The 25966-nt window shown below is 48.5% G+C and overlaps 1 protein-coding gene and 1 long non-coding RNA gene across 2 annotated transcripts in view, besides 8 other annotated features; one reads left to right on the forward strand and one right to left on the reverse strand.

The window, feature by feature from the left end:
* SLC2A1 (solute carrier family 2 member 1) overlaps window positions 1–236 on the reverse strand; it is a 33516-nt gene extending 33280 nt beyond the window's left edge. The window contains exon 1 of the mRNA NM_006516.4: window positions 2–236. Coding sequence (NP_006507.2) covers window positions 2–19 — 18 coding nt within the window. The 5' untranslated portion in view covers window positions 20–236. The remainder of the gene's footprint in view (window position 1) is intronic.
* Window positions 127–536: a silencer, noted in NCBI's record as "silent region_773". NCBI's record gives its function as "represses an Ori minimal core promoter by ATAC-STARR-seq in GM12878 lymphoblastoid cells {active_cell/tissue: GM12878}" and the evidence as "EXISTENCE:reporter gene assay evidence [ECO:0000049][PMID:35858748]".
* Window positions 127–592: a biological region, named in NCBI's record as "ReSE screen-validated silencer GRCh37_chr1:43424712-43424895".
* Window positions 409–592: a silencer, noted in NCBI's record as "fragment chr1:43424712-43424895 (GRCh37/hg19 assembly coordinates)". NCBI's record gives its function as "represses an EF-1alpha promoter that drives an FKBP-Casp9 reporter gene in an ReSE screen in phorbol 12-myristate 13-acetate-treated (for megakaryocytic differentiation) K562 erythroleukemia cells {active_cell/tissue: K562(+PMA)}" and the evidence as "EXISTENCE:reporter gene assay evidence [ECO:0000049][PMID:32094911]".
* SLC2A1-DT (SLC2A1 divergent transcript) lies at window positions 417–24726 on the forward strand. The gene is made up of 4 exons (NR_033967.1): window positions 417–945; window positions 11617–11762; window positions 15342–15556; window positions 24493–24726. It is a non-coding gene; the product is annotated as an SLC2A1 divergent transcript (long non-coding RNA).
* Window positions 4046–4340: a silencer, noted in NCBI's record as "tiled region #619; HepG2 Repressive DNase unmatched - State 5:Enh". NCBI's record gives its function as "represses a minimal TATA promoter and a strong SV40 promoter by Sharpr-MPRA in HepG2 cells {active_cell/tissue: HepG2}" and the evidence as "EXISTENCE:reporter gene assay evidence [ECO:0000049][PMID:27701403]".
* Window positions 12334–12835: an enhancer, noted in NCBI's record as "H3K4me1 hESC enhancer chr1:43436637-43437138 (GRCh37/hg19 assembly coordinates)". NCBI's record gives its function as "activates a minimal SCP1, AML or CMV promoter by ChIP-STARR-seq in primed H9 embryonic stem cells {active_cell/tissue: H9 hESC(primed)}" and the evidence as "EXISTENCE:reporter gene assay evidence [ECO:0000049][PMID:30033119]".
* Window positions 12836–13335: an enhancer, noted in NCBI's record as "H3K4me1 hESC enhancer chr1:43437139-43437638 (GRCh37/hg19 assembly coordinates)". NCBI's record gives its function as "activates a minimal SCP1, AML or CMV promoter by ChIP-STARR-seq in naive H9 embryonic stem cells {active_cell/tissue: H9 hESC(naive)}" and the evidence as "EXISTENCE:reporter gene assay evidence [ECO:0000049][PMID:30033119]".
* Window positions 14449–14949: an enhancer, noted in NCBI's record as "H3K4me1 hESC enhancer chr1:43438752-43439252 (GRCh37/hg19 assembly coordinates)". NCBI's record gives its function as "activates a minimal SCP1, AML or CMV promoter by ChIP-STARR-seq in naive H9 embryonic stem cells {active_cell/tissue: H9 hESC(naive)}" and the evidence as "EXISTENCE:reporter gene assay evidence [ECO:0000049][PMID:30033119]".
* Window positions 14950–15450: an enhancer, noted in NCBI's record as "H3K4me1 hESC enhancer chr1:43439253-43439753 (GRCh37/hg19 assembly coordinates)". NCBI's record gives its function as "activates a minimal SCP1, AML or CMV promoter by ChIP-STARR-seq in naive H9 embryonic stem cells {active_cell/tissue: H9 hESC(naive)}" and the evidence as "EXISTENCE:reporter gene assay evidence [ECO:0000049][PMID:30033119]".
* Window positions 24727–25966: the final 1240 nt, after the last annotated feature.

Raw genomic sequence — 25966 nt, forward strand, 5'->3', positions numbered from 1 at the left:
CCTTGCTGCTGGGCTCCATGGCAGCGCTGCGCTGGTGGCTCTGGCTGCGCCGGGTACGCGGGTGGCGACGGGCGTGCGAGCGGCGCTCTCCCGCTCAGGCTCGTGCTCCGGTCCGGGGACTCCCACTGCGACTCTGACTCCGACCCCCGTCGTTTGGTCTCCTGCTCCCTGGCGTGCTCACTCGGGGACCCGCGACTAGCGACCGGCACGCTCGCTGTTGCTACCTCTTGCCTCTTGCCAGAGAGCGCGCGGACCGTAGCGTTTATAGGACCCCGGCCATTGGCTGGCGACGCCGGTGTGTCAGGGGTGTGTGGGCAGGACCTCGGGGCGGGGCCTGGGGCCCAGCCTGTCCTGGGCGGCGCTCTGCGGGGAGGGGGTGAGGGGAGTGGCCGGGGCCGGGGCCCCCCCTAACCACTGCCTCGCTCAGGCTGCCGATCGGCTCGTTCTCTCTGCGTTGGGACCGCGGAGGGCATTCGCTGTGTGACTCAGGGCAAGTGTGCGCACCTCTCTGAGCCTCCGCGGCCTTCTCTAGCAAAATGGTGGAGCCGGTACCCGGCTGTAAGGCAAGCTGGGATGCGCGGAGTAGCGGGTGGAAAGCTGGACTGGAGTTCTCACTCGGCCGCTGGGTGACTTCGGTGCACTAGGGATAGTAACAGTACCACCTCGTAGGGTTGTAGAAAGACCAAGTGAGTTAATATTTGTAAAGTGTTTAGAACAGCGTCTACTGCATGGAAAGTAGTATTTATTTGTTAGAGAGACTCCAGGAGGTCTTGCCCAGGGATTGACTTCTCCCTTCCCTGTCTCCACCCCCCACATTCCCGTTTGTGAGCCAAGCCTTGCTTTTGCACCGGCCGGGCTCTCTTGCCTGGAAATGCATACCCATCTCAAACCTGGGCTTTAAAATCACCTCCTCTGGGACGCCTTCCTCTACTTCTCACAGTTCAGGTGAGTCTATGGTGACCTGTAAGTGTGGAAAATATGAAAGGCAGGCTAACTGACTGACATGATAGGACATTAAGGACATGATAGACCTCGGGTTTGAACCAGCTCAACTGTATACTGGCCCGGCCGCGATCCTGGGCGAGTTCCTGGCCAGTGAGGCTGTTTTCGTTTTTTTCTTTAATTTTTTTTTTTCTCAGACAGAGTCTCGCTCTGTCGCCCAGGCTGGAGTGCAGCGGCACGATCTCGGCTCACTGTAACCTCCGCCTCCCGGATTCAAGCAGTTCTCTGCCTCAGCCTCCCGAGTAGCTGGGATTACAGGCGCCCGCTATCACCCCTGGCTAATTATTTTTATTTTTAGTAGAGACGGGGTTTCACCATTTTGGCCAGGCTGGTCTTGAACTCTTGACCTCGTGATCCACCCACCTCGCCTCCCAAAGTACTGGGATTACAGGCGTGAGCCACTGAGCCCGGCCGAGGCTGTCTTCTTATGAGTAAATGGAATTCCCACACCAATCTCATTGCTATCAGGAGAGGTGCAATTTCCAGATAAGCTCATGAAGTGTTTAGCATGGAAGTTCTCATTTACTGGTTGGTGGTATTGTTGGTTTATTTATTTAGTCTGTTAGTAAATAAATAAATGCTGGTCTCAAACTCCTGGGCTCAAGTGATCCTCCCACCTTAGCCTCCGTAGTAGCTGGGAGTGCAGGCATGTGCCACTGCACTGGTAGTGGTATTGCTATCATCTGACTTCACCTTATTTCCTCTAGACCAGTGCCTTACTTGAGACACAGTGAAGGGAAGGACCCCCAGTCCAAAGGTCTGATCAAAGTCTTGAGGGTCCCTTTCCCGATGGAGGGAGTCATGGTGGGCTTACTGTCTGTCGGAAACCGGGAGGCTGAGCCGACCAGATGACCCCTGGAGTTCTCTGGCAATGTGTCCAGTTCTGGCTGAGGGGCACCTTGGTTGAGTATGGAGCCCTGAAACAGAAGGCAGGTGCATTCTGGGCACCCCCCTGCCCAAGGCTTCAATTCCTGTGGTCTCTCTATGCTCAGCCTGGAAAGCTTGGGCCACCTCTCTCCTCACCCCTGGACAGACCAAGTCCTGCTGACTCCGCTGTCTACACCACCTCATCCTCCTTCCCTCCCCTGCTGTCTGCAGGGCCTCCATCTCCTCTGGTCTTTTGTCCTCCAGTCCTGCACCCTGCCACTCTCCTGCTCATCTGTCTGAAATTGTCATGGAGGGAGTAAGGGCCAAGCCTGGCCATCACGGTCCTTCTTCATGGCACCAGTTTACACGCTCAGCCTCGCCCCTCACACCAGCAACTCACATCCACACATTTGCTCAGCTTGTCTCCTCTGCCTGGGAAGCCCTCCCCGACCTCACCATGCCAAAAAGCACCATGGGTCCTTCCTCCTCCGGGAAGTGTCCCTGGTTCTCCCAAGTGGAAATCTTTCTCTCCTTTACCATTTGGTGTTTTGTAGGTTGCCACTTGTCCTCTGTCTGCCTTCCCTCAGCCTGTGAGCACCTTGAGGACAGGTTCTGCAGCTGAGGCACGTGGGTGAATGACTGAAGGAGGGAAGGAATGCACGAATGAGTGAGCAGCTAATCTACCTGTGTTGAATGTTCCTTCCCCTCCAGTCCGTCCTGCTGATACTTCCAGTCTTTCCTTAAGTACCTTTTGGGTTTTGCTACTTCCCTCCTCAAAGTCTCTCCACAGCTCCTTGTTTCTTAGCACATCCAGTCTATGCCTTTTCCCAGTTGCGGGTCTGCCTTACTCAGCCCATGGGTCACACTCACCAAACAGCCACCTTGTCCTTCTCTGGGCCAGCCCCATGCTGGCCACTTTCCCAGGGACAGAGACATGTGACCCCATTGTTAGCCTCATGGAGGCCCCAAGCTGGAGGAGGAGCAAGAGGGGAAATGAGCAGCAACAATACCAAGTCAAGCGTAGAGGGTTAAGAATCTGTACAGGTGCAGAACTTGTACCACAGGGGAAGGAGAGTGAGTAGAGAGAGCATCTGGGAAGGGGGAGGTCATGCTAAGCAGGGTTTGGAAGACTGAATAGGAGTTCACCAGATGGATTGAGGGAAGGCCATTCTCAGCAGAGAGAAGAGCATGTGCAAAGGCAGCAGACTGCCAGAATGATTACCTAGGGAACGTGAGAATCTCTGGGCCACTCTTAGAGATTCATGATGGAGCCCCAGATCCGGACTCTTTGAGTCCCAGCTCTGCTATTTACTTGCAAACATTCATGGGCAAACAATGCCTTCTCTTCTCTGAGCCTGAAGACCCACATCTGTAAAATAGATATAACAAACCCTTCCTGGGTAGGCCTGAGGGAAAGTGGATGTTTATAAAGGCTTAGCTATGTAAACTGTACTCATTCTTGACGTGAGAAGTTCAGTCAAATCCCCATCCCATGGTAGGGCGGTGCTTGAGGAAAAAGCACAGTGGCCAAAAAAAAGCTTTTCCTTCACCCACCCCACCCCACCTGCCCACACACAGACCCCCATTACCTTCTCTGTGTTCCTCTCTGTGAATGTTTTATGACCCCTGGAGGCTACTGGTCAGAAGCAAATTCATCAGAAGCTATTGACGCTGCATCACAGACTAGATTCTCAGGTGGACTGGTTTGTTATTTGGGTGGCTGATTCCTTGGAAGCAGAATTTAACTCCAACTAGGGAATGAGCCCTAGAGAAGGCCCCAGGAAATAGCACATGAGCAGAGAAGGTTTGGGTGCAAGGGGAAAGGGGAGCAGGAGGGGCACCTAAGTAGCCCCTGTGGCTGGGGCATGGGGGCTTAGGGAGGAGAAGAGACTGAAGAAGTGGAATCACAGAGGCTCCCAAATGCCAGGTATAGGAGTTAGGGCTTTATGCAGTGGGTAGTGGCGAGCCATGGAGAGTTATTGAGCAGGGAAAGGACCTGAGGAAACCTCAGTGTCCCCACAAGCCTACTCTACCTGAGGCACTAAAGGGGGTGTGAGGAGGCTGTGGAACCCCAGCATTCAGCTTGAACGACCTAGTGCCCCTTCCCTAGTCTGCGCCCACACTGACAGCTTTATTCCCTGGAGGCTGCCTTTAGTCCTGGACGGAACTCGGCCTCTTCTGGGTCCGATTCTAAGCAGTTCCAGCCCCAGCTAGTCTGGAGGAAAAGAGCTCTCTGGGACTGGCTAGCAGGGAGGTGTCAGGTGCCAGGCGGATGCTGGAGCCTAGTGTGTGCCTCAGAGCACGCAAGTGGGTGGGGGAGGGGTGGTGGTGGTGATGGTGGTGGTGGCAGGGCCGTGCAGGGCGGGTCCTAGCAGCTCCAGAGTTAGGAGTGAGTAAGGCGGGCTGGGAAAAGACTCTGTTGCCTTTAAAGGCAAGCGTCCCTGGCAGCCAGGAGGAAAGGTTTTGCTGAGTCAGCTACAATTGGTACAAGAGGGGATAGCAGGGGCTGGGACGGAAGCCCCCCTAATCCAAAGGGTGTTTTGCAATTCAAATCCTCCTGGATTGCAGGTAAACACAGTGATGGATTCCAGGAAGGTCTGATGGGCCAGGCAGGACAGTTTTGTGTGTTTAATGTTTTCATTCTGATTTGCACATCTGCTTGAACCACCTGCTTTCAGAAAGCTTTTCGGCATCCCTTCTTTATCTTCTGTATGCCCTCCGACCCTCTGCAAATGCACTTATCAGGGCTACCACCTGCTCGCTGATGCTGGGGGAATTGAAGGCACATACTCCCCTCCCTTCTCTCCTGACTACCAGGCTTTTCTGTCCAGCTGCCTCCAGGATGTCCCTCTGGATGTCCCACAGGTCCCTCACACTCACCATGCTCAAACCTGAACTCATTATCTTTGCCCATCCCTTCCTGTCCCCACCCTAGAAATGGCTCCTCTAGCCACCAAATTGCCCTAGCCAGAGATCTGGTATCTTCCCTGACCCCTCTCTGTCTCCCTCATTCCCCATATCCAGTCAATCCCGTGGACTTTGCCTGCCCATCCCGTGGACTCTGCCTGCCCTCTCCATGCAGACAGTCCCTCCTCCAGCATAGGCTAGGACCACTATTCATTCATCCTCCTCCCTGCCACCACACTGGTCTCTTTAAAATGCACAGCTGACCACATCACTGCTTTGTTCAAACATCTTTCCATGGCACGCAATAATGTGGCTGAATCTCACAGACATATTGAGTGATAGCAGCTGTGCGAAAGAGTGTGATGTCATGTGTATAAAGTTTAAAAACAGGCAAAACTTATCTCCGGGGTAACAGTAGTTACCCTTGGAAGGGAGGGTCGCGACTCTGGGGGCGGGTGCTGGTAATCAGGGTGAGGCAGGTGGAGACCAGATCAGCAGTACTGATGTTTTTTCCTTTTGCCTCGAGCTTTAATATGACTCAGCACAGCATGTTACTAATCCTGTTTTTATTTAAAATTTTGATATTTTGTCATCATGGATTTTTTGCATTAATTCTGGTTTTTCAAAAATACTGCATTAAAAATATTATTTATCCTGATGACAGAGTCCGCCGCCCCCCTCTACCCCCCTCCACCCCTGCTTAAATTTTACAGGGGAGGTGAGTGCCTTTCTTGTGACACCCTGTTTCTGACCGTGTTGGTAATGTTGTTTCCTCATCAGGGTGCTGGTTGCGGGTGTGTTTAGTTTGTGAAAATGCATTGAGGTGTGTACATTTCTGATTTTCGTACTCTTCTGAATGCATATTTTGCTTCAATTAACCAAATTGAATTTTTTTTTTTTTTTTTTTTTACTTAAAATATTTCTGTAATTCCAAGGGAGTGTCTCCATCTGCTTCTTCCAGTGTCCCCAGCACCAAAAACAGCACCTGCCTCACACTGGGTCTCCTACATTTTTGTTGAATGAAGGAATACAACATTTCAGTTAATTTAATTCCAACAGCAACTCTATGAAATAAGTATTTCTCTATTTTCTTTTTTTTTTCTTTTTTTGAGATGGAGTCTCACTGTTGCCAGGCTGGAGTGCAGTGGCGCAATCTCGGCTCGCTGTAACCTCCGACTTCCGGGTTCAATAGATTCTTCTGCCCCAGCCTCCCAAGTAGCTGGGATTACAGGTGCGCACCACCACGCCCAGCTAATTTTTGTATTTTTAGTAGAAACGGGGTTTCATGATGTTGGCCAGGGTGGTCTCGATCTCTTGACCTCGTGATCCGCCCGCCTTGGCCTTCCAAAGTGCTGGGATTATAGGCGTGAGCCACTGCGCCTGGCCTTTTTCTCTCTGTTTTCTAAAGGAGAAAACTGAGGCTCAGGGAAGTAATTTGCCCAAAATCACACAGGTAGTGTGAGTTCCAGCACCTGGATTGAAAAAATAAATGGAGTCAGGTGTGGTGGTGCGTGCCTATAGTCCCAGCTACTAAAGAGGCTGAGGCAGGAGGATTGCTTGAGCTCAAAAGTTCAAGTCCAGCCTGGGCAACATGGTGAGACCCCATCTCTAAAAATAAATAAATAGGCCAGGCGCAGTGGCTCACACCTGTAATCCCAGCACTTTGGGAGGCCAAGGCAGGGGGATCATGAGGTCAGGCATTCGAGACCAGCCTGACCAACATGATGAAACCCCATCTTTCCTAAAAATACAAAAATTAGCCAGGCGTGGTGGTGTGCACCTGTAATCCCAGCTACTTGGGAGGCTGAGGCAGAACAACCTATTGAACCCAGGAGACGGAGGTTGCAGTGAGTTGAGATTGCACCACTGTACTCCAGCCTGGGCAACAGAGCAAGACTCCGTCTCAAAAAAAATTTTTTTTTAATAAAAATAAAAAATAATAATAAATGGATGACTTGACTCTAGAGAAACTTGTTTTAAATCAAATGCTGCCAGATTCTCTGCCTTTAAAGAAAGCAATAAAAACAACAAAAACTCCAACTGGCACTGCCTGCTCTGATCCAGCAACAGTACAAGCAGTTTGCTTTGCCTGGCTCTTATCGCTTAGATTACAATTATTTGAGCCTTATCTTCCTCTGAGATAATGACCTCCTCTAGGGCTGGGGCTCAGGTATTCCTGTCTTGCCTCTGTCCAGCAAGTTATTTGGCACAAGAAAGAAGCTATAAATGTTTAATAAATGAATTAATCAAAGAATGAATGAAGGAGGAGGCTGACAGTGGTATTTGGTGGGTGGACCACAGGTTTTGGAAACAGACCTGCTAGCTATGTGTCTTTGGGCATGTTACCTCACCTGAATCTCAGTTTCCCCAACTGTAAGATGGGGATAATAGCAGTACTCACCTCTAAGAATTATTGTGAATATGAAGTAAGGAAACGTGTATCAGGTGACTATCCTACAGTAAATACTTGAAACGTGGTAACTATTATTATTTCCATTTTTTTACATTCTCAAAGCCTGATTTTCTTCAGGGTTGCAGGGGTCTTCCCCTCTCAATTTCCACGTATTGTTTTCTGGAGGTCTGTGAGGTTGGAAGAAGAGGACCTGATGATGCCTCCCCGAGGAGCTTTTCTTCCCCGTGGGGTGGGCAGAACTCTGGAACGTTCCAAAAGTCTGGCTTCATGGCCCAGCTCCACCTTGTGATTGGCGAGTTCCTTATTACCAGTGAGCCTCAGTTTTCTCTCTGTAAAATAAGGCCCATAATAATCTTTTTTTTTTTTTTGAGACGGAGTCTCACTCTTTTTGCCCAGGCTGGAGTGCACTGGCACAATCTCGGCTCACTAAAACCTCTGTCTCCCGGGTTCAAGCGATTCTCCTGCCTCAGCCTCCTGAGTAGCTGTGATTACAGGCGCCCACCACCACGTCCACCTAATTTTTTTGTATTTTTAGTAGAGACAGGGTTTTACCATGTTTGGCCAGGCTGGTCTTGAACTCCTGACCTCAAGTGATCCACCCGCCTCGGTCTCCCAAAGTGCTGGGATTACAGGTGTGAGCCACCGCGCCCGGCCCTCTTTTTTTTTTTTAAGACCCAGAATGATGTTGACCTTGGAGATCTCTGGGGAGGATTCAATGGCTTGGCCCTGGGCCTGGTGCACAGTAAGCCCTCCACAAGTGTTGAGTCTGAGGAAGTAACCTGGCACCCTGAGGCTGGGGGAACAGCAAGGAGACCAGAAGGATCCTGAGAAGCCCAAGGACTGATGGGAAAAACAAATAGCCTGGCACAGTTTTGTTTTATTCTTAGAATCATATTTCTCCAGAGAAGTGGAAAAACAATGCCTTTCATGCCGATATAACTTTTTCTTTCTTTTTTTTTTTTTCTTTTTAGAGGTAGGGTCTTGCTATGTTGCCCAGGCTGGCCTCAAACTCCTGAGCTCAAGCAATCCTCCTGCCTCAGCCTCCCAAGTAGCTGGGACAACAGGCCAGCACCACTGTACCTGGCTTTGATATAACTTTGTAACTCTGCAAAACTCCTTCCCACATGTCATTCCTTGGGTCCTCCCCACACCTTATGCTGCAGGCAAGACTAGAATTATTCATGTATCCACAGTTGTGAAAACTGAGGCACAGAGAAATTAAGCCACTTGCTTGAGATCACAGTGAAGAAGGAATTTGGAAGCAAATTGAAGGTGTAAAACCTGGGCCTCCTGACTTATAGATACCACCATGCAGCAATTTGGATCTGAAAGAAAGCACACAGCTTATGCCCAGACAGAGCAGCCGGTGTCTAGCTGTGCCCGCTTGCCCCGCCCAGCTCCCACCTGGATGCCACCTGGCAGTCATATGCACATTCATCACGGAGGAGCTGGCTGACTCACACATTATACTGGAGCTGACTCATGCTTTGCAAGAGGGAGAGAGAATCGGTTGAGAGCCACAGGAGCCCCTGCTTTCCACATTGAGGCTTGAAATTCATGCCTCAAATCCACCGCAGTTCATTTCTTTAAAAAGGGAAAGCAGTGTGAGCTGGCTGGAGCTGGGGATCTCTGGACTCAGAGAAGAGTGGTTTGGTTCAACTCTGGGCTCTGTTACAAGTTGGCTGGGTGACTTCGGGCAAGTCATTGTCCCTCAGTCTCTTCAGCTTTGTAACAAAGGGGTTGCAACAGATAAGCGCCAAGACTCTTCAAGCGTCTGAAAGGCTGTTCTTGCTCTGGGTTGAGAAACCTTGTCATAATAATGTTGTATGTGTTGCTAATTTACTATGTGCCAGGTAAGTGATTGGTATGGAGTTATTAATATCTCATTTAATTCTCATAACGAATTCTAGATTTACTGTTTTTTATCCTGTTTCTCAAAGGAGGAAACTGAAGCACAGTTTCAGAGTGATTTGCCCAGGGTTGAGTAGGTCAGCAAGTGGCCGAGCTAATAATTGAACCTGGTTTGTCCCCAGACTTTGTATAAAATCTAGTCTAAGGCCGGGCGTGGTGGCTCATGCCTGTAATCCCAGCACTTTGGGAGGCCAAGGCGGGTGGATCACAAGGTCAGGAGTTGGAGACCAGCCTGGCCAACATGGTGAAACCCCATCTCTACTAAAAATACAAAAATTAGCCAGGCGCAGTGGCAGGCGCCTGTAATCCCAGCTACTCGGGAGGCTGAGGCAGGAGAATTGCTTGAACCCGGGAGGCAGAGGTTGCAGTGAGCCGAGATCGTGCCACTGCACTCCAGCCTGGGTGACAGAGCAAGACTCCATCCCAGAAAAAAAAAAATCTGCTCTACACCTTTATCCTGTTAGACCTCAGTTTCCTCACTTAAAATTAAACTACATGACATAAATTTTACCATTTTACCTATTTTAAGATTACAGTTCAGTGTCATTAAGTGCATTCACACTGTTGTGCAACCATTGCCATCATCCATCTGAACCCACTAAATAATAATTCCCCATTCCCTGTTACCCCTAATCCCTGGCAACCTCCGTTCTACTTTCTCTGTGAATTTGACTACTCTAGGTATCTCATTTAAAGTTTCCTCATCTTTAAAACTACGATAATAAAGATCAAGTGTTATTCAATCCTTCTCCCAGTAGCGCGGTTGGCTCAGACTTGAATTTAAGTCCCAGTTCTATTCACCTACCCCTCAGGCAGGTTGCTTAACCCCTTTGCCTCCCTCATTCCCATGTCCCTAAAGTTGGGCTGGTGGACCCTGATGGGATGATCACAGGAGACAGTGGGGATGAAGGTACTTGGAAAGCCCAATGCCACTTCTAGAACTTGTTATACCATCTTCCTGGTGGGCTGGAACCCTGGCTTAGATTTATAGGTGTGACAGCTGGGGAGGCTTTAGAATGGCACATTACAACCTGGCCAGTGCCCAACCCAACATTTGGGGCTGAGGCTGGGAGGCAGAAGCCACATCAAGGAGGGCTTTGACTGTTTGGCTATAGAGCCCTCCCCTCATGGAGCTTACATTCCAGCCTGTACACCTGGTATTGTAAAGTGGCTGGTGTAGTCTTTACTTACAGAGACTGCTCAGGCAGTAGTCTGTCCTGCGTGTTTCTTTTAACTGGTTCCTGCTCAGGCAGTAGTCTGTCCTGCGTGTTTCTTTTAACTGGTTCCCGGAGGCCTGGTCTTGTGGCTGAGAGTCCTATCTTCCCTATTTCCTTAAAGTAATGATTGTTAGGATATTTTGGTTGCAAGTATCAATGCATTTAAACCAGCTGTCACCAAAAAGGGAGATTTTTTTTTTTTTGAGATGGAGTTTCAGCTCTTGTCGCCCAGGCTGGAGTGCAATGGTGTGATCTTGGCTCACTGCAACCTCTGCCTCCCGGGTTCAAGTAAGTCTCCTGCCTCAGCCTCCCGAGTAGCTGGGATTACAGGTGCCTGCCACCATGCCTGGCTAATTTTTGTATTTTTAGTAGAGATAGGGTTTCACCATGTTGGCCGGGCTGGTCCCAAACTCCTGACCTCAGGTGATCCACCTGCCCCAGCCTCCCAAAGTGCTGGGATTATGGGAAAAAGGGAGAATTTAATAAAGGATATAGAGATTGGATGCAGTGGCCCACACCTGTAATCCTAGCACTTTAGGTTTGCCAAGGTGGGAGGATTGCTTGATCCCAGGAGTTCCAGACCAGCCTGGACAATATAGCCAGACATTGTACCTCAAAAAAAATTTAAAAATTAGCCAGGCATGGTGGCATGTGCCTACAGTCCCAGCTACTTAGGAGACTGAGGCAGGAGGATGGTTTGAGCCTAGAAATTCGAGAATACACTAAGCCGTGATTGTGCCATCACACTCCAAACTGGGTGACACAGCAATACCCTGTCTTTAAAAATACAAAAAAGTTAAAAAAAAAAAAATAGGCTGGGCATGGTGGCTGATGCCTGTAATCCCAGCACTTTGAGAGGCCGAGGCGGGCAGATCACCTGAGGTCAGGAGTTCAAGACCAGCCTGGCCAACGTGGCAAAACCCCATCTCTACTAAAAATGCAAAAATTAGCCAGGTGAAGTGGTGCGCGCCTGTAATCCCAACTACTCGGGAGGCTGAGGCAGGAGAATCGCTTGAAGCCGGGAGGGAGGGTTTGCCGTGAGCTGAGATCGCACCACTGCACTCCAGCTTGGGCAATAGAGTGAGACTCCTTCTCTAAATAAATAAATAAATAAATAATTTTTTAAAAATCTTTAAAATATATTTTAAAATAAAAAAGATAAAGGATACAGAGATGTCTCATAAACCAGGCACAGGGATGCAACAAGACGCTGACGAAGATCTGGATTCAGTGAGTAGGCTGCCACTAGGATGCTCTACCTTTCTCATCTGTGTTATTTCTCTGTTTCAACACAAACAGGCCTGTTCTGCCCCACACAGCAGAAAATGCCCACGATGCAATACCAGAGTCTGCATGGGACCATTTCAACAACCCTTAGAAGCTGACTCAGCTGTCTCCTGGCCCTGACTTTTCTAAGATGAGAGGAGCTGGTAGGAACAATTTGGGTGAGATGTTTGTCCTGAGTCCATTTGGTTATGGTCAGGTGATACGGTCACAGAGCACAAACAAGGCTGGCAGAGCCCCACTCTGTGTGAGGATGGGGTGGAGGAAGCATGTGTTCCTCCTGATGTTGTCACACAGGCACACATGCATTCATTAAAAATGTTTTTGGGCCAGGCGCAGTGGCTCACGCCTGTAATCCCAGCACTTTGGGAGGCTGAGGTGGGTGGATCACCTGAGGTCGGGAGTTTGAGACCAGCCTGACCAATATGGAGAAACCCCGTCTCTACTAAAAATACAAAATTAGCCGGGCGTGGTGGCACATGCCTGTAATCCCAGCTACTCGGGAGGCTGAGGCAGGCGAGTTGCTTGAACCCAGGAGGTGGAGGGTGCAGTGAGCCGAGATTATGCCATTGCACTCCAGCCTGGGCAACAAGAGCAAAACTGCATCTTAAAAAATATATAGTAATAGTAATAATAAAACAGTTCCTACCTCCCAGGGATACAGTGTGTGTTAACTAAGACATTTATTCACTTATTCCATAAATACTTATTAAGTACCTAGTACGTGATGGTATTTGTGGAAGCTGCACAATGACTGGCCAGTGGTGGAGGCTCAGTAAGTTGGAGTCACTTAAAGCTCTGCCTTCCAGGTGTGCACAACTAAGTTGATGCTCCACACAGGTGCTTCTGCTCTTGTGGTCTGTGTGCATTCTGAAAATCTAGGAATGCAAACAAGGTGCCACAGCTATCTATTGCTGTAGATTATCCATGTCAGGCCGGGTGGGGTGGCTCATGCTTGTAATCCCAGCACTTTGGGAGGTCGAGGCGGGTGGATCACCTGAGGCCAGGAGTTCAAGACCAGCCTGGCCAACATAGCGAAACCCTGTCTCTACTAAAAATACAAAAAGGGGCCCCGCTCAGTGGCTTACGCTTGTAATCCCAGCACTGTGGGAGGCCAAGGTGGGCATATCACGAGGTCAAGAGATCAAGACCATCCTGGCCAATGTGGTAAAACCCCGTCCCTACTAAAAATACAAAAATTTAGCTGGGTGTTGTGGTGCGCACCTGTAATTCCGGCTACTCGGGAGGCTGAGGCAGGAGAATCGCTTGAACCCAGGAGGCGGAGGTTGCAGTGAGCCGAGATCGCGCCACTGCACTCCAGCCTGGTGACAGAGCCCCTACTCACCCCCACAAAAAAAAAAAAAAACAAATGAGCTGGGTGTGATGGCACATACCTGTAATCGCAGCTATGTGGGAGGCTGATGCACAAGAATTGTTTGAACCCAGGAGGTAGAAGTTGCAGTGAGCCAAGATCGTGCCACTGCACTCCAGCCTGGGTGACAGAGTGAGACTCTATCTCAAAAAAAAAAAAAAAAAAAAGAAAGAAAAAAGAAAAAAAGAGTAACCATCTCAAAACTTAGTGGATTTAAACAGCAACAGCTTATTATTTCTCATGATTTTGTGGACTGACTGGGCAGTTCTGCCCCACATGATGGCAGCTGGGGTGACTCATGCGGCAGCATTCAGCTGGACACATGGCTGGGCCATTCTCTCCATATGGTGTTGCATCCTCCTCTGTCTCCTGAAGGATAGCTTGGACTTCCTTATAGCGTGGTGGCTGGGTTCCAATGGGGAGCGTTCCAAGGGGACAATCCTCATGTGGAAAAGCTTATCAAGCCTAGTTATATCAATGCAAATCATTCTGGATTTAAGTTGCTTTGTCTCTTGATTGCTCATGAACATTCCTATGTGAGTAAATATTCTTCCCAATGTGATTTTTTTCTTGTTGTTAAAGACAGGCTCTGGTTTTATCGCCCAGGCTGGAGTGCAGTGACATAATCATAGTATAAGCATAGCTCACTGCAGCCTTGAACTCCAGGGCTCAAACAATCCTTCTGCCTCAGCCTCCCATGTAGCTGGGACTACAGGTGCGCACTACCATGCCTAGCTAATCTTTTTTTTTTTTTTTTTAAAGAGATAGAGTCTCGTTGTATTGCCTAGGCTGGTCTCCAACTCCTGGGCTCAAGTGATCCTTTCACCTCAGCCTCCCTAGTACCTGGGACCACAGCCATGTGCCAATACACTAATTTAAAAAAATTTTTTTTGAGAGATGGGAGTCTTGCTGTGTTGCCCAGGCTGGTCTCAAACTCCTGGCCTGAAGTGATCCACCTTCCTCAGCCTCCCAAAGTCCTAGGATTACAGGTGTGAGCCACTGCACTCTGCCCCCAACATGATTTTTTTTTTTTTTTTGAGACTGAGTTTCACTGTTGTTGCCCAGGCTGGAGTGCAATGGTGTGATCTTGGCTCACCGAAACCTCTGCCTTCTGGATTCCAGCGATTCTCCTGCCTCAGCCTCCCAAGTAGCTGGGATTACAGGCATGCGCCACCACACCCGGCTAATTTTGTATTTTTAATAGAGATGGGGTTTCTGCATGTTGGTCAAGGTAGTCTCGAACTCTGGACCTCAGGTGATCTGCCCGCCTTGGCCTCCCAAAGTGCTGGGATTACAGGTGTGAGCCACGGTGCGCAGCCCCAACATGATTTTGAATGGCTGACTGATAGACCATCATTGATTGAACCAATCTCCTCTTGATGAGTAATTAGGCAGTTTTCATTTGGAGGCAGTTATAAACAACTCTATGAAGGACAGCTTTGTGCCAAGAACTCAGTACATATCGTTGTAGTAGAAGGATTACAGGGCCAAAGGACAGGTGAATTTTTAAAGCTTTGCCAAATTTCCCTTCAGAAAAAATGGTACATTTTGCACTTTTATCGGCTGTAAAGAGACCTGCTCTTTCGAAGTCTTCTGGTCAATACTGGGTGTGGTTTGTCTTTTCAGTCTTTGTCAATCGAAAAATGGTGTTTTATCATTGTCTTCAAAAGAGAGAAGATTAGAAGTAAGTTACCCAGAGCCAGATGCTTAAGAAGAGTTCTCGTCTTTTACTCTGAGGTAGCCCGAATAAATCAGCAGGGTCGAGGCCGGGGCAATGCAAAGTGTCTCTCTGCACAATGTCAGGCTATTAAATGCACAGTGTCCCTCTGCCCGCTGACTCAGGCTGTAAAATTGGAGCATGGTGCTGACAACAGTGCTCATGGCTGTGGGGATGAGGTCACTGTGTCCTCACTGTGCGGTCGACTGGGACAAGCCCATGGCTTTCCTGTCCCATGTCTGTGGGCCTTCCGGCAGACACAGGGCTCGTGGCCTCACCCTCCACGCCCGTGTTGGCTTTCACCTTGTTCCCTCTGACCCAGTCTGGAGGACCTGGTGCTGCATCTGGGCCAAGCTGGCTGTAACTAATAAGAGTTGTAACAAGGGACATCTAAAACAGGACCCTGAGATTGGTCTTTGTTTTTGAGCAGCCAAAGCCATACCTCATAGTGTCAGAAGTTTTAAAACTGGGGGATCCTTCTTGTGTGGAAGCAGAGCTCCTGGACTCAGAGCCGACCCTGCTTCTTCCTAGCTGTGGAGCAAGTAGGGGAGCTTTTCCAAACCTCAATTTCTTCATCTAGAGAATGAGGGTAATGGTGATTTAAGGACTATTATCTTCTTCCTCTGTGCCTGATACTTGTGATTCTCACAGGAACCCTCAAAGGCTGAGAGTATCCCACCCACTTCACAGATGAAGCAAACTGAGGCCCAGAGAAGGGAAATTACTTGCCCAAGATCACCCAGCAAGTAAGAAACAGAGCTGGAGATGAGCTCAGGCCAGCACGGAACCACGCAAACTCCTTCTGTAGGCTTTGTAAAGGATTGATGAGAAAAGCAGATGGTTAAGAGCTCTACAACTTCTGTGAGGTAAAGAATATCTGCAGGGCTGGACGTGGCGGCTCTTGCCTGTAATCTTAGCACTTTGGGAGGCCAAAGTGGGTGGATTGCTTGAGTCTATGAGTTCAAGACCAGCCTGGGCAACATGGTAAAACTCTGTCTCTCTAAAAAAAAAAAAAAAAAAAAATTAGCTGAGTGTGGTGTTGTGTGCTTGTAGTCCCAGCTACTTTGGAGGCTGAAGCGGAAGGATCCCTTGGCCCAGGAGGCAGAGGTTGCAGTGAGCTGAGATTGTGCCACTGCACTTCAGCTTGGGTGACAGAGCCAGACCTTATTTAAAAAAAAAAAAAGGATATCTGTGATTACAAGATTACCATGCAATTTTGAAAGCCTGCTGTTGCCCAGCTGGACAGCTAGAGTTATTCTCAGTGGTGGGATGGCTGAACTGGGGGCCCACTGTGGAGAGCTGGTTTCCCACTGGAGTTCTCTGAAAAGGTGCCTGATTTCACAGCTCTGATTCTACAGAAGGAGGCCGGACCCTTCACGTAATTGCTACCCTTTATTTATGGAGCTATTCCTCTGTCGGGATGCCCTTTATATGTGTACAGTCTGTGCTGCAGTCGATTCTTATAGTGATTCTATGCAGAAGTTACTTTAGAGGAGGCTGCTGGGGCGCAGGGTGGGTAGGTACCTTGTCAGCATGGTGGGGCTGGGTCTCCAGCTGGTTGGGACCCCACCCTCCTATCATGGCCCAGGAGTGAGGCATTCAGGGCTGGACCACCAGCATTTGTGAAGCTTTTGCCCCATTATCCCATCAGAACATCTTCTTGGCCCTGGCAGGCAGCCAGGGCAGGGCCATTCTCCACCTTACTGACAAAGAAGCCCAGGGAGGGGAAGAGGGTGCTCCCCCAACACCTCCATTGCCTCTGCCTGCTTAGTCCAGAATGCAGGATAGAGAAATAATGGGAAAAGCTCCCAAGTGTTGCTGGATCTCTGCCTGCCAGGGAAGCTGTGACCCCAGTAAGGGCAGGGTGTTCCTTCCAGGGAACTCGAGGTGGGGCAGGATGGGTAGGGAGTGAGATCAGAGGGAAGGCCATGTTGGGAAGATGGGAAGGCAAGTCTCTGGGGGTTTGTGGGATAGAGGAAGGGAACATCATAGAACAGGCCAGGAATAGGAGCTTGACCTGGAGATTACTTTGCAGCAGGTTTAAACAGGGGCCATGTGAGAGTGTGGAGCCCTGGGGTCAGAGGTTACTGGATGCAAATTATGACTCTGCCACTTATGGGAATGGTGAGTTAGGACAAATGATTTCCCTGGGCCTCAGGGTCTTCATGTATAAAAGGGCTGAAGCTCAGTGGGTAACTGGAGCACTGCCTGGGTTAGATCCTGGCTCCACCCCTTTCCAGTGTGACCTAGGGTGAATGAGTTCACCTCTCTGGGCATCAGTGTCCTTGTCTCTAAGATGGACTTGATAATAATGAAAGCTACCCCTCACAGGGCTGTGGTGAGGATGAAGGGGTCTGGCAGCACATGTAGAATTCTTAGAGCAGGCTTTTTTCCTGCAGAGTCTTTGTTGCTATCATCATCATCATCATCATCCTCATCCTCATCATCATCTACCTCCAGGGATTCTTGGGGGGCTTAAACAAGGCAGGTTGTACAAATTATCTGGCACAGACGTCATTAAATAATAACAGGGCAGAGTGACGGGTGCTGTGATACAGGGAAGAGCTGGGAGAGACACAGGAAAGAGAAAAGACTTCTGTCTGGCTGGGTGGAAGAAGGGTGTGGAAGGTATGGAAGCCAAGGGAAAACTTCCCCTTTGCCCTCTGAAGGTTCACTGAAAAGTCAACTGACAAAAGGCAGATGAATAGCAGAAATGGCATGCAAATTTATTAATGCGCACACAGGGAGAACCACAGAGTGATTGATTACTCCCCACTCTGCAATGGGGTGCAGAAGCTTATATGCCATCTTGAGGTTACAGAAAGAATGGGGGCTTGGGGCCTGAGCGCAGTGGCTCATGCCTGTATTCCCACCACTTTGGGAGGCCAAGGTGGGTGGATCACCTGAGGTCAGGAGTTTGAGACCACCCTGACCAACATGAAACCCCGTCTCTACTAAAAATACAAAAAATTAGCTGGGTGTTGTGGTGCGCACCTGTAATTCCAGCTACTCGGGAGGCTGAGGCAGGAGAATCACTTGAACCAGGGATGCTGAGGTTGCACGAGCTGAGATCGCACCGCTGCCCTCCAGCCTGGGCAACAAGAGCAAAAAAAAAAAAAAAAAAAAAAAAAAAGAAAGAAAGAAATGAGGGAGGGAGGGAGGAAGGAAGGAAAGAAAGGGAGGCTTGGATCCTGGCAAAACAGTTTATGAGATGGGGAGAAGAGGAGGCCTCCCTAGCAAAGGTGGTCTTGTTATGTAGATGAAAGCTCACAGATAGCAGCTGTCAGAGAGAGTAGACCTTTGAAGGTACCAGACTCTCATCAGTTAGTCTGTCCTAGATCTGACAAGGGAAGGTCCGCAGAGGAAGCCTGCCTGCATCAATGCAGATGTCCCTATAGATGCAGGTCTCCCCTACAAAAGACAGCTTTGCAGGCCTACTTCTGTTCCCAGGCTCTCTGAACAGCCATCTCAAAATATGTCAAAGAAGTATATTTTGGGGTGAAATATTTTTATTTGCTGCAAAGCCTCGCTCAAAGGACATGTAGAAGTTCCCTGTGTAGATGAGGGGAAGACAGAAAGATGAACTTCTATCATCTTTGGTTGTGAGAGAGCAACCAAAGATAAGGAACATGGAGCAGTTTCATGAGCTGCGTGCTTGGAGTGAAGGGCGTGAGGCTGCACGGGAGCACTGGGGCCAGATTGCAGAGGGCTGGGAATACCTTGCTGGAGGGTTTAAACTTGACCTGGTAGGTGAGGAGTTCTTTTAATTTTTTTTTTTTTTTTGAGACAGAGTCTCGCTCTGTCACCCAGACTGGAGAACAATGGCGCAATCTCAGCTCACTGCAACCTCTGCCTCTCTGGTTCAACTGATTCTCCTGCCTCAGCCTCCTCAGTAGCTGGGATTACAGGCACACGCCACCACACCCGGCTAATTTTTGTATTTTTTACTAGAGACAGGGTTTCACCACGTTGGTCAGGCTGGTCTTGATCTCCTGACCTCGTGATCTGCCCGCCTCGGCCTCCCAAAGTGCTGGGATTACAGGCGTGAGCCACCGTGCCCGGCTTTGGTGAGGAGTTCTTACCCGTCTAAATGGCAGAATCACCCAGGGCACTAAAAATAAATACTGTTTTATGGTCCTGCCCAACAGTATTCTAAGTCAGTAGGTCTCAAGTGGGACTCATAAATCTTTACATTTTTCCTTCAACTTTTATTTTAACTTCAGGGTTACATGTGCAGGATGTGCAGGTTTGTTACATAGGTAAACGTGTGCCATGATGATTTGCTGCACTGATCATTCCATCACCTAGGTATTAAACCCAGCATCCATTAGCTATTCTTCCTGATGCTTTCCCTCCCCCGATCCTACCCCTAACAGCCCCCAGTGTGTGTTGTTTCCCCCTCCCCAATGTGTCCATGTGTTTTCATCATTCAGCTTATAAGTGAGAACCTGCAGTGTTTGCTTTTCTGTTCCTGCATTAGTTTGCTGAGGATAATGGCTTCCAACTCCATCCATGTCCCCACAAAGGACATTATCTTGTTCCTTTTTATGGCTGCATAGTATTCCATAGTGTATATTTGCCACATTTTCTTTATCCACTCCATCCCAGATGGGCATTTAGATTGAAGAATCTTCACTTTTTAAAGCTTCTCAGGAAATTCTGATGCCCACCCAGAATTGGGAACCTTTGCCATGGAAGAGGGTGGGGGGATATCTTTAAACAGGAATAGGGTCCATTGAGATGCCCACCCCAGACCTCCAATATATGGGGAGAGAGCTTGAGAAGGTGGGAAGTGTGTGTAGGAGACTCTGACCCCCAGCCTTCCACCCCTCTCCAAAGCAGTCCCACACTCTGATGTTTACCACCAGGGCTGACCCCTGGAAGTGCCTCTTCCCTATAGCCCTCTGGATCCAGCAAGGACAGACAGCCTTCCCTCCTTCCTTCCTTCTTCCCAACAGTTTTTGAGCCCCTCCACGATGTGCTGAGCATGCTGTTGGGTACTGAAAGTGAATAAAATAGGTAGTTTCTCCCCGCAACCTCCTGACCTAAAGCTTTGGGTGATTCCTGCTGTTTTGGCTCTGCTAAGCATGAAGTGCGTGTCATCAGGCATGTGGCTAAGCACAAGAGAGCTGGGACAGGAGTCCACCCTGGGGGCTCAAGCAGTGGCTGCAGGGCTCAGTGGTCCAGCCTCCAGGCCCTGTGGCTTCCTGGTTCCCCCTTCTCACAGGCCCGGTCTCTTGTCCTGGCTCTAGCCTTGCAGGCCAAACTCCCAGGCCGTGCCCTCGGTGCCCCCTACCAGGGGGGTCCTGGTGCATGGGGTAGGAGTGAGCTGTGCAGCCGCCTTCCCACCTCATCTTACACAGGAGACAACAACATTGGGTAAGGTCTGAGCAACTCTTCCCAGGGGCAGGGTTAAGGATCATTTCCTCACAGGGGTAGCAGAAACAACAAACACAAGGAAATGACAGGGATGCCGAGGATTTCAGAGCACACAGCTCCGGTCCAGGACGGACTCCCACAGAGAGATGGGGGGAACGCTCCCGGGGCAGCTTCCTCACCTCCCTCTTGGAGTCGGCTCTTGTGTCTTCATGCTGTGTTCTGTTGTTTCCTTTCATCAGGATCCCTTGCCCACACCAACCCCACCCACACCATCACCGATGGCACTGTTTCACTCGCTCATTGCCATTCATTTACTTCTTCCTTTCTCATTCAACACATAGGTACCATGTGCCAGGCACAGGATAAAGCCATAGGCAATATACAGCCTCATGTGGTGTTCCCAGTTGGATGGGGTCACCAACACAATCAGACAGCTCTAATATAACATGATAATTGCCACTGTGGAGTTGTGCATAGGGTGTTATAAAACCAAGGAGTAACCCAGGGAAGGCTGATTCTTGAAGAATGAGTAGGAATTTATGCAGCGCATACCAAGCAGTGAGAATAGCAAATGCAAAGGCACGAAGTTTGTGATGGCTACAGCATGGCAGGTTCAGGGGAGCAGAGGGAGTGGAGGCAGGGAGATGAGCAGGGGCATCCATGAAGGGCCTGGGAAGCTGGGCTGAAGAACTAGAACTTTCTGCCTTAGGCAGTGGGCAGCCATTGGAGGATTTTAGGGAGAGAAGGGACATGGTCAGATCTGCATCTTTTTTTTTTTTTTTTTTTTTTTTTTTGAGATGGAGTCTCACCCTGTCGCCCAGGCTGGAGTGCAATGGCGCAATCTCGGCTCACTGCAACCTCCACCTCCCGGTTCAAGCGATTCTCCTGCCTCCCGAGTAGCTGGGATTACAGGTGCCCGCCACCACGCCTGGCTCATTTTTTGTATCTTCAGTAGAGACGGGGTTTCACCATGTTGGCCAGGCTGGTCTCCAACTCCTGACCGCCCGCCTTGGCCTCCCAAAGTGCTGGGATTACAGGCGTGAGCCACCACACCCAGCCAGATCTGCCTCTTAGAACAATGCTATGGAAGTTGATTTTGGGGAATGGGTGGAAGAGGCAGAGGTCAGGCAGAGTGTTCAATAAAGAGGATCAGACAGGCCAGGTAGGAGAAGCTGATGCCTAGCCTAGGACAGGGCAGGTAGCTCAGCAAGTGTGAGCACCTCTCAGTGTAAGAGCTGAGGTGGGAGAGGGGCAGATGGGCTGTGGAGCTGGCCACACTAAAGGCAGCTGTGTGTTTGCAGGGCTCAGGACCAAAGGGAGGCTGAGTCAGGAAGGCACTCCTGGGCTTCTGGCTTGAGCAGGCTCAAAGTCAACAGATGCAGCTGCATCTGTGTCTAGCGATTGGGAAGGTCCACAGCAGGACTCCAGCTCATACCTGGGAGTCAGGGCAAAGTCCAGCCTAGGGAAGAGCCCCCAAGAGCCAGGCTGGGTGTCAGGTGGGGCCCTTGTCCTGAAGGGAGAAGAGACTACAAGGTAGAGCACCAAGCACACCTGGCTCTGGCACCTTTACGTCTCTGGCCACTTCTCTCTTATGGCTCCCTGTAACAATGAGATACGGACACCTGGAGGCACCTGGGGCTAGTTTCTTCCTCATACCTGCCCCGCTCCGATGAGGCTCCCTCCAGGCTCCGCATCTTGACTTAGTTACAACCTGATCCTGAGCTGGGACCCAAGGGTGTCCTGCTCCTGGCTCCAATCTCCTGGTGAGGATGAACTTTGGTTTGGCTCCACCTGCTCAAGTGCCTTCGGAAGTGTGCCCACCTTGCCAGCCTCGTCAGAATGCAGTCTCAGGATGATGAAAGAGTTCAGGAAATGCCACCCCAAGGTACGTCACTTTGGACTTCAAACTGAGAGCATTTGAGGAACAGCAAATGCAGGGAGGGACTTTCTCTGAACTTCCCTTATCTGCTTCAAGATAAATCCTCCAAAAGGAACTCAATGGTTATAACTCCCCTCCCCAGGAACCTCATCAACCAGAGAAGAGTAAACTCAGATCACAGGACAGGAGACTGGGGGTCAACACCACCCCCAGACAGACTTTATCACATATCACCTATTCTTCTGAAGGCCCATTCATCTTTCCTCCAAATCATTTACTCTCTCCTAAGTTGCCTGAACCCTCCCTCCGCTCACCCCCTTTAAGAGGTATATATGCTCTCACTGAGGTTTAGGACATTTGCTTTTCTTTCATGTGATGCCCCCATGCATGTAGTATATTTGTGTACCTTTTCTTCTGTAACTCTTTCTTCTACTGTCAGTTTATTTCATAGAGTCAATTACCGAACCCTCAGAGGGTAGAGGGGAAATCTTCCCTCCCCTGCAGTGATGCTCTGGGACTGCCAGACACCTGGTGTCTAATAGACACCAGAACTCACTCCCAACAGCCCATTTGGGCAATTAGTCGCTCATATGATAAACATTTTTTTAAACCCCCAAAGTGTACCAGTCCTTGGACTGAAAGCTGGATTTACAAGGTCAAATCAGATTCAGTCCTTGTGATAGAAGAGTTCATAATACAGTGGAGCCAAACGCATGAAACATAACACAGCCTATTACAACACAACGCGACATGACAGCTTCACACATCCCAACACAGGATACAAGGGCTCAGGTCTGGTTTCTAACTTCTGGGGCCTCAGCTGAGAAAAGGGCAGCTCCCAGTGAAAGGAGGCTTATTAATTAGGGAGGGAGCTTATTGGAATGTCAGCAGTGGAATGCAGAGGGGAAGAGACTCTAAGTCAGACTAGCTGCTTCAGTCCTGGCACCATAATCTTGGATGGATGACAGAACTCTCTGTGCCTTAGTTTCCACATCTACAAAATGGAGAGAATAATAGTGTGTATGTCATAGGGCTTAAGGATTAATTGAGATAATACACGCAAAGTGCCTGGCACAGTGCCTAGAAGGTATAGCAAGCACAATAGCATTAGCTGTGTGGTTCTTGTTGCCATAGAATTATAGAACCTGATTATACTCTTAGGTTCTTGGAGTCAGAGAACTGTAGAATCATAGAACCCTAGGACCTTAGAACCTTAGACATAGAGGTTTATAAATATATATAAATATAACGTGCACCAGAATATTAGCTAGGAGGGTGAAGAAGGGAGATCTCCCCATTCCTTCAGATTGAGGCGAAATGTCCTCTAATGCCTGAGTTCCAGGGCTGTCACATTCAGTTGCTCAGGTTGTACCTAATATACCTCTAAAGAAGGCCATTCACATAGACTTCGATGTGAATGGAGTTCCTTAGACGCAGCATGACATGCACCATTGCGTGAGAAAGCCCACATTTCTCCCAGAGAAGTCGGCTAAGTCCCAGGGGGCTTACACTTAGTACCATAATCTCTGCCTCCAGCAAAACATGCTGGCTTTGTCCTGAGCCACACTGACCTGAATGTGATGAAACTGAAACTTGGATTCCATATAAAAATAAAATCACTCCTGCACGTTGTGCACATGTACCCTAAAATTTAAAGTATAATAATAATAAAGTTAAAAAAATAAAAATAAAAAAATAAAATCACTCTCCTTAAGCATTCCCAAGAGCAGATTACACAGAGGTCCAGAATGTTCTGGAGAGGTATCACATCTTGTGAAGCACAGCTTATTGCTACCCAGATGTACAATGAGATGTGAGCTATTCCTCCCTGACCTGTCATCTTTCTGCTCACTTCTCTCCCTCCCTCCCAATTTGCTCCTCAGGAGCCCAGGCATAAGCTATCCCAGGCTCTTGGTGGGGTCTTAACTCAAAGCCCTTATCAAAGCATTTTCCTCAACAAAAGTAGTTCCTTTTCCTAACAGGAATTTGGGCCATATGTTTAGGTTGTAATTTTTGTATGCCTTATCATATTTAGTGCCACTTATAAAACCTGAGACTCACAGAATTTTAATAGCAAATAATCTAAGAAACAAAAATTTTGGAATAACCCAGCCTAAGGACCACAAGTTCTAAGAATTGTGGAGAATTTCAGAATCCCAAAAATCTTAACAATTAGAAGAGGCCTTAAGGGGTCATTGAGTCCACACCTTATTCAACACAGGCATCTCCTCTGCAACATTGCTGGCAAGTGCTGATACTGCCTCTGCAACAACAACAAAAAAGCATACTTCTGAGAAAAATTGGAAGACAGCTTGTTATCTGAACTATGCGTAGACTTGAATAATCTATTTTTGTTTTTTTTGAGATGGAGTTTCGCTCTTGTTGCCCAGGCTGGAGTGCAAAGGTGCGATCTCAGCTCACCGCAACCTCCGCCTCCCAGGTTCAAGCGATTCTCCTGCCTCAGCCTCCTGAGTAGCTGGAATTACAGGCATGCACCACCACACCCAGCTAAGTTTGTATTTTTGGTATTCTTTGTATTTTTAGTTTCTCCACGTTGGTCAGGCTGGCCTCGAACTCCCACCCTCAGGTGATCCACCTGCCTTGGCCTCCTAAAGTTCTGGGATTACAGGCATGAGCCACTGCACCCAACCTGAATAATCTATTAGAGTCTTTATCTCTAAGAAGAGAAATACATCTGAACTAAAGGGTAAAAAATGGCATGTTTTAATTGGTAAGTCTAAATGCAAAACGATGACAATAAAATTTTAAAGGACTGCTTCCTTCTTAAGCTTTATTTTCGTCCTCTGTCAGTGTATTGCTAGACTCATCTTTCCCAGACACCCAGACCTCCCACGAGAGTATGTACATTCCATTTGGCTTGATTTCAAGTGCTAATGTATAAAGCTTCTGGGTTCTGGGTCTGGCAAGCTATTTCTCATGTTCTCTGATAAAATATTGAAAACCATCTCTAAGGTCTTCCAAGAGGGGATATGTGGAAGATACATTTCAATTTTCCACTGCATTTCAACCTTAATATAATGTGATTAGCTACAGCATTGAAAATTAGCTTAATACTGGCCCATCTTATTATAGGGGCCAAGGAAAAACTTTCCCTTTATCCTCTGAAGGTCCACTGTAATCAACTGACACAAAAGGCAGATTAATAGAAGAAAAGGCATAACCATTTTATTTTAATGTACATAGCACAGGAGAACTGAAGGAGAATGATTACCCTGCTATCTTAATTTAATTCCAATGTGGTCTGAGAGCAGACATTGTATGGTTTCTATTATTATAAATTGGTTAAGCTGTGCTTTATGGCCCAGAATGCAGCCTGTCTTAGTGAATGTTCTGTGGGAGCTTGAGACGAATGTGTTTTCTGCTGTTGCTGGATGAAGTATTCTATAGACACCAATTATATCCAGTTGATTGATGGTGTTGTTGAGTTCAACTATGTTCTTACTGATTTTCTGCCTGCTGAATCTGTCCATTTCTCAGAGGGATGCTGAAGTCTTCAGCTATACTAGTGGATTCATCTATTTCTCCTTGTAGGTCTGTCAGTTTTTGCCTCCATAGTTTGCTGCTCTGTTGTTAGGCACATACCCATTAAGGATTTAACTATGTCTTCTTGGAGAATTGACCCATTTATCATTATGTAATGTCTCTCTTTATCCCTGATAATTTTCCTTGCTCAGAAGTCTGCTCTGAAATGAATATCGCTACTCTCACATTCTTTTCATTAGTGTTAACCTGTTATATCTTTCTCCATCTCTTTACTTTTAATCTATATGTGTCTTTGTATTTATTTTTTATTTTTTTTTAATTTTTTTTTTCTGTGGGGTCAGCCAGGAGAGAGGGGGGACAGGTGACTGGTCCATCCCTGAGGCAAGGATCCCAGCACCTACCAGGCTTCCCCCGAGACCAACACTCTGCAGCTCTGGGAGGAAGTGGAGAGCCCCAGAGTCTGGCGAACTTGGCAGGACGTGAGAGAACAGCTCAAGGGAGAACCATTCCAGTC

The sequence above is a fragment of the Homo sapiens genome, chromosome 1 (genome assembly GCF_000001405.40).
Source record: "Homo sapiens chromosome 1, GRCh38.p14 Primary Assembly".
Lineage (NCBI taxonomy): Eukaryota > Metazoa > Chordata > Mammalia > Primates > Hominidae > Homo > Homo sapiens.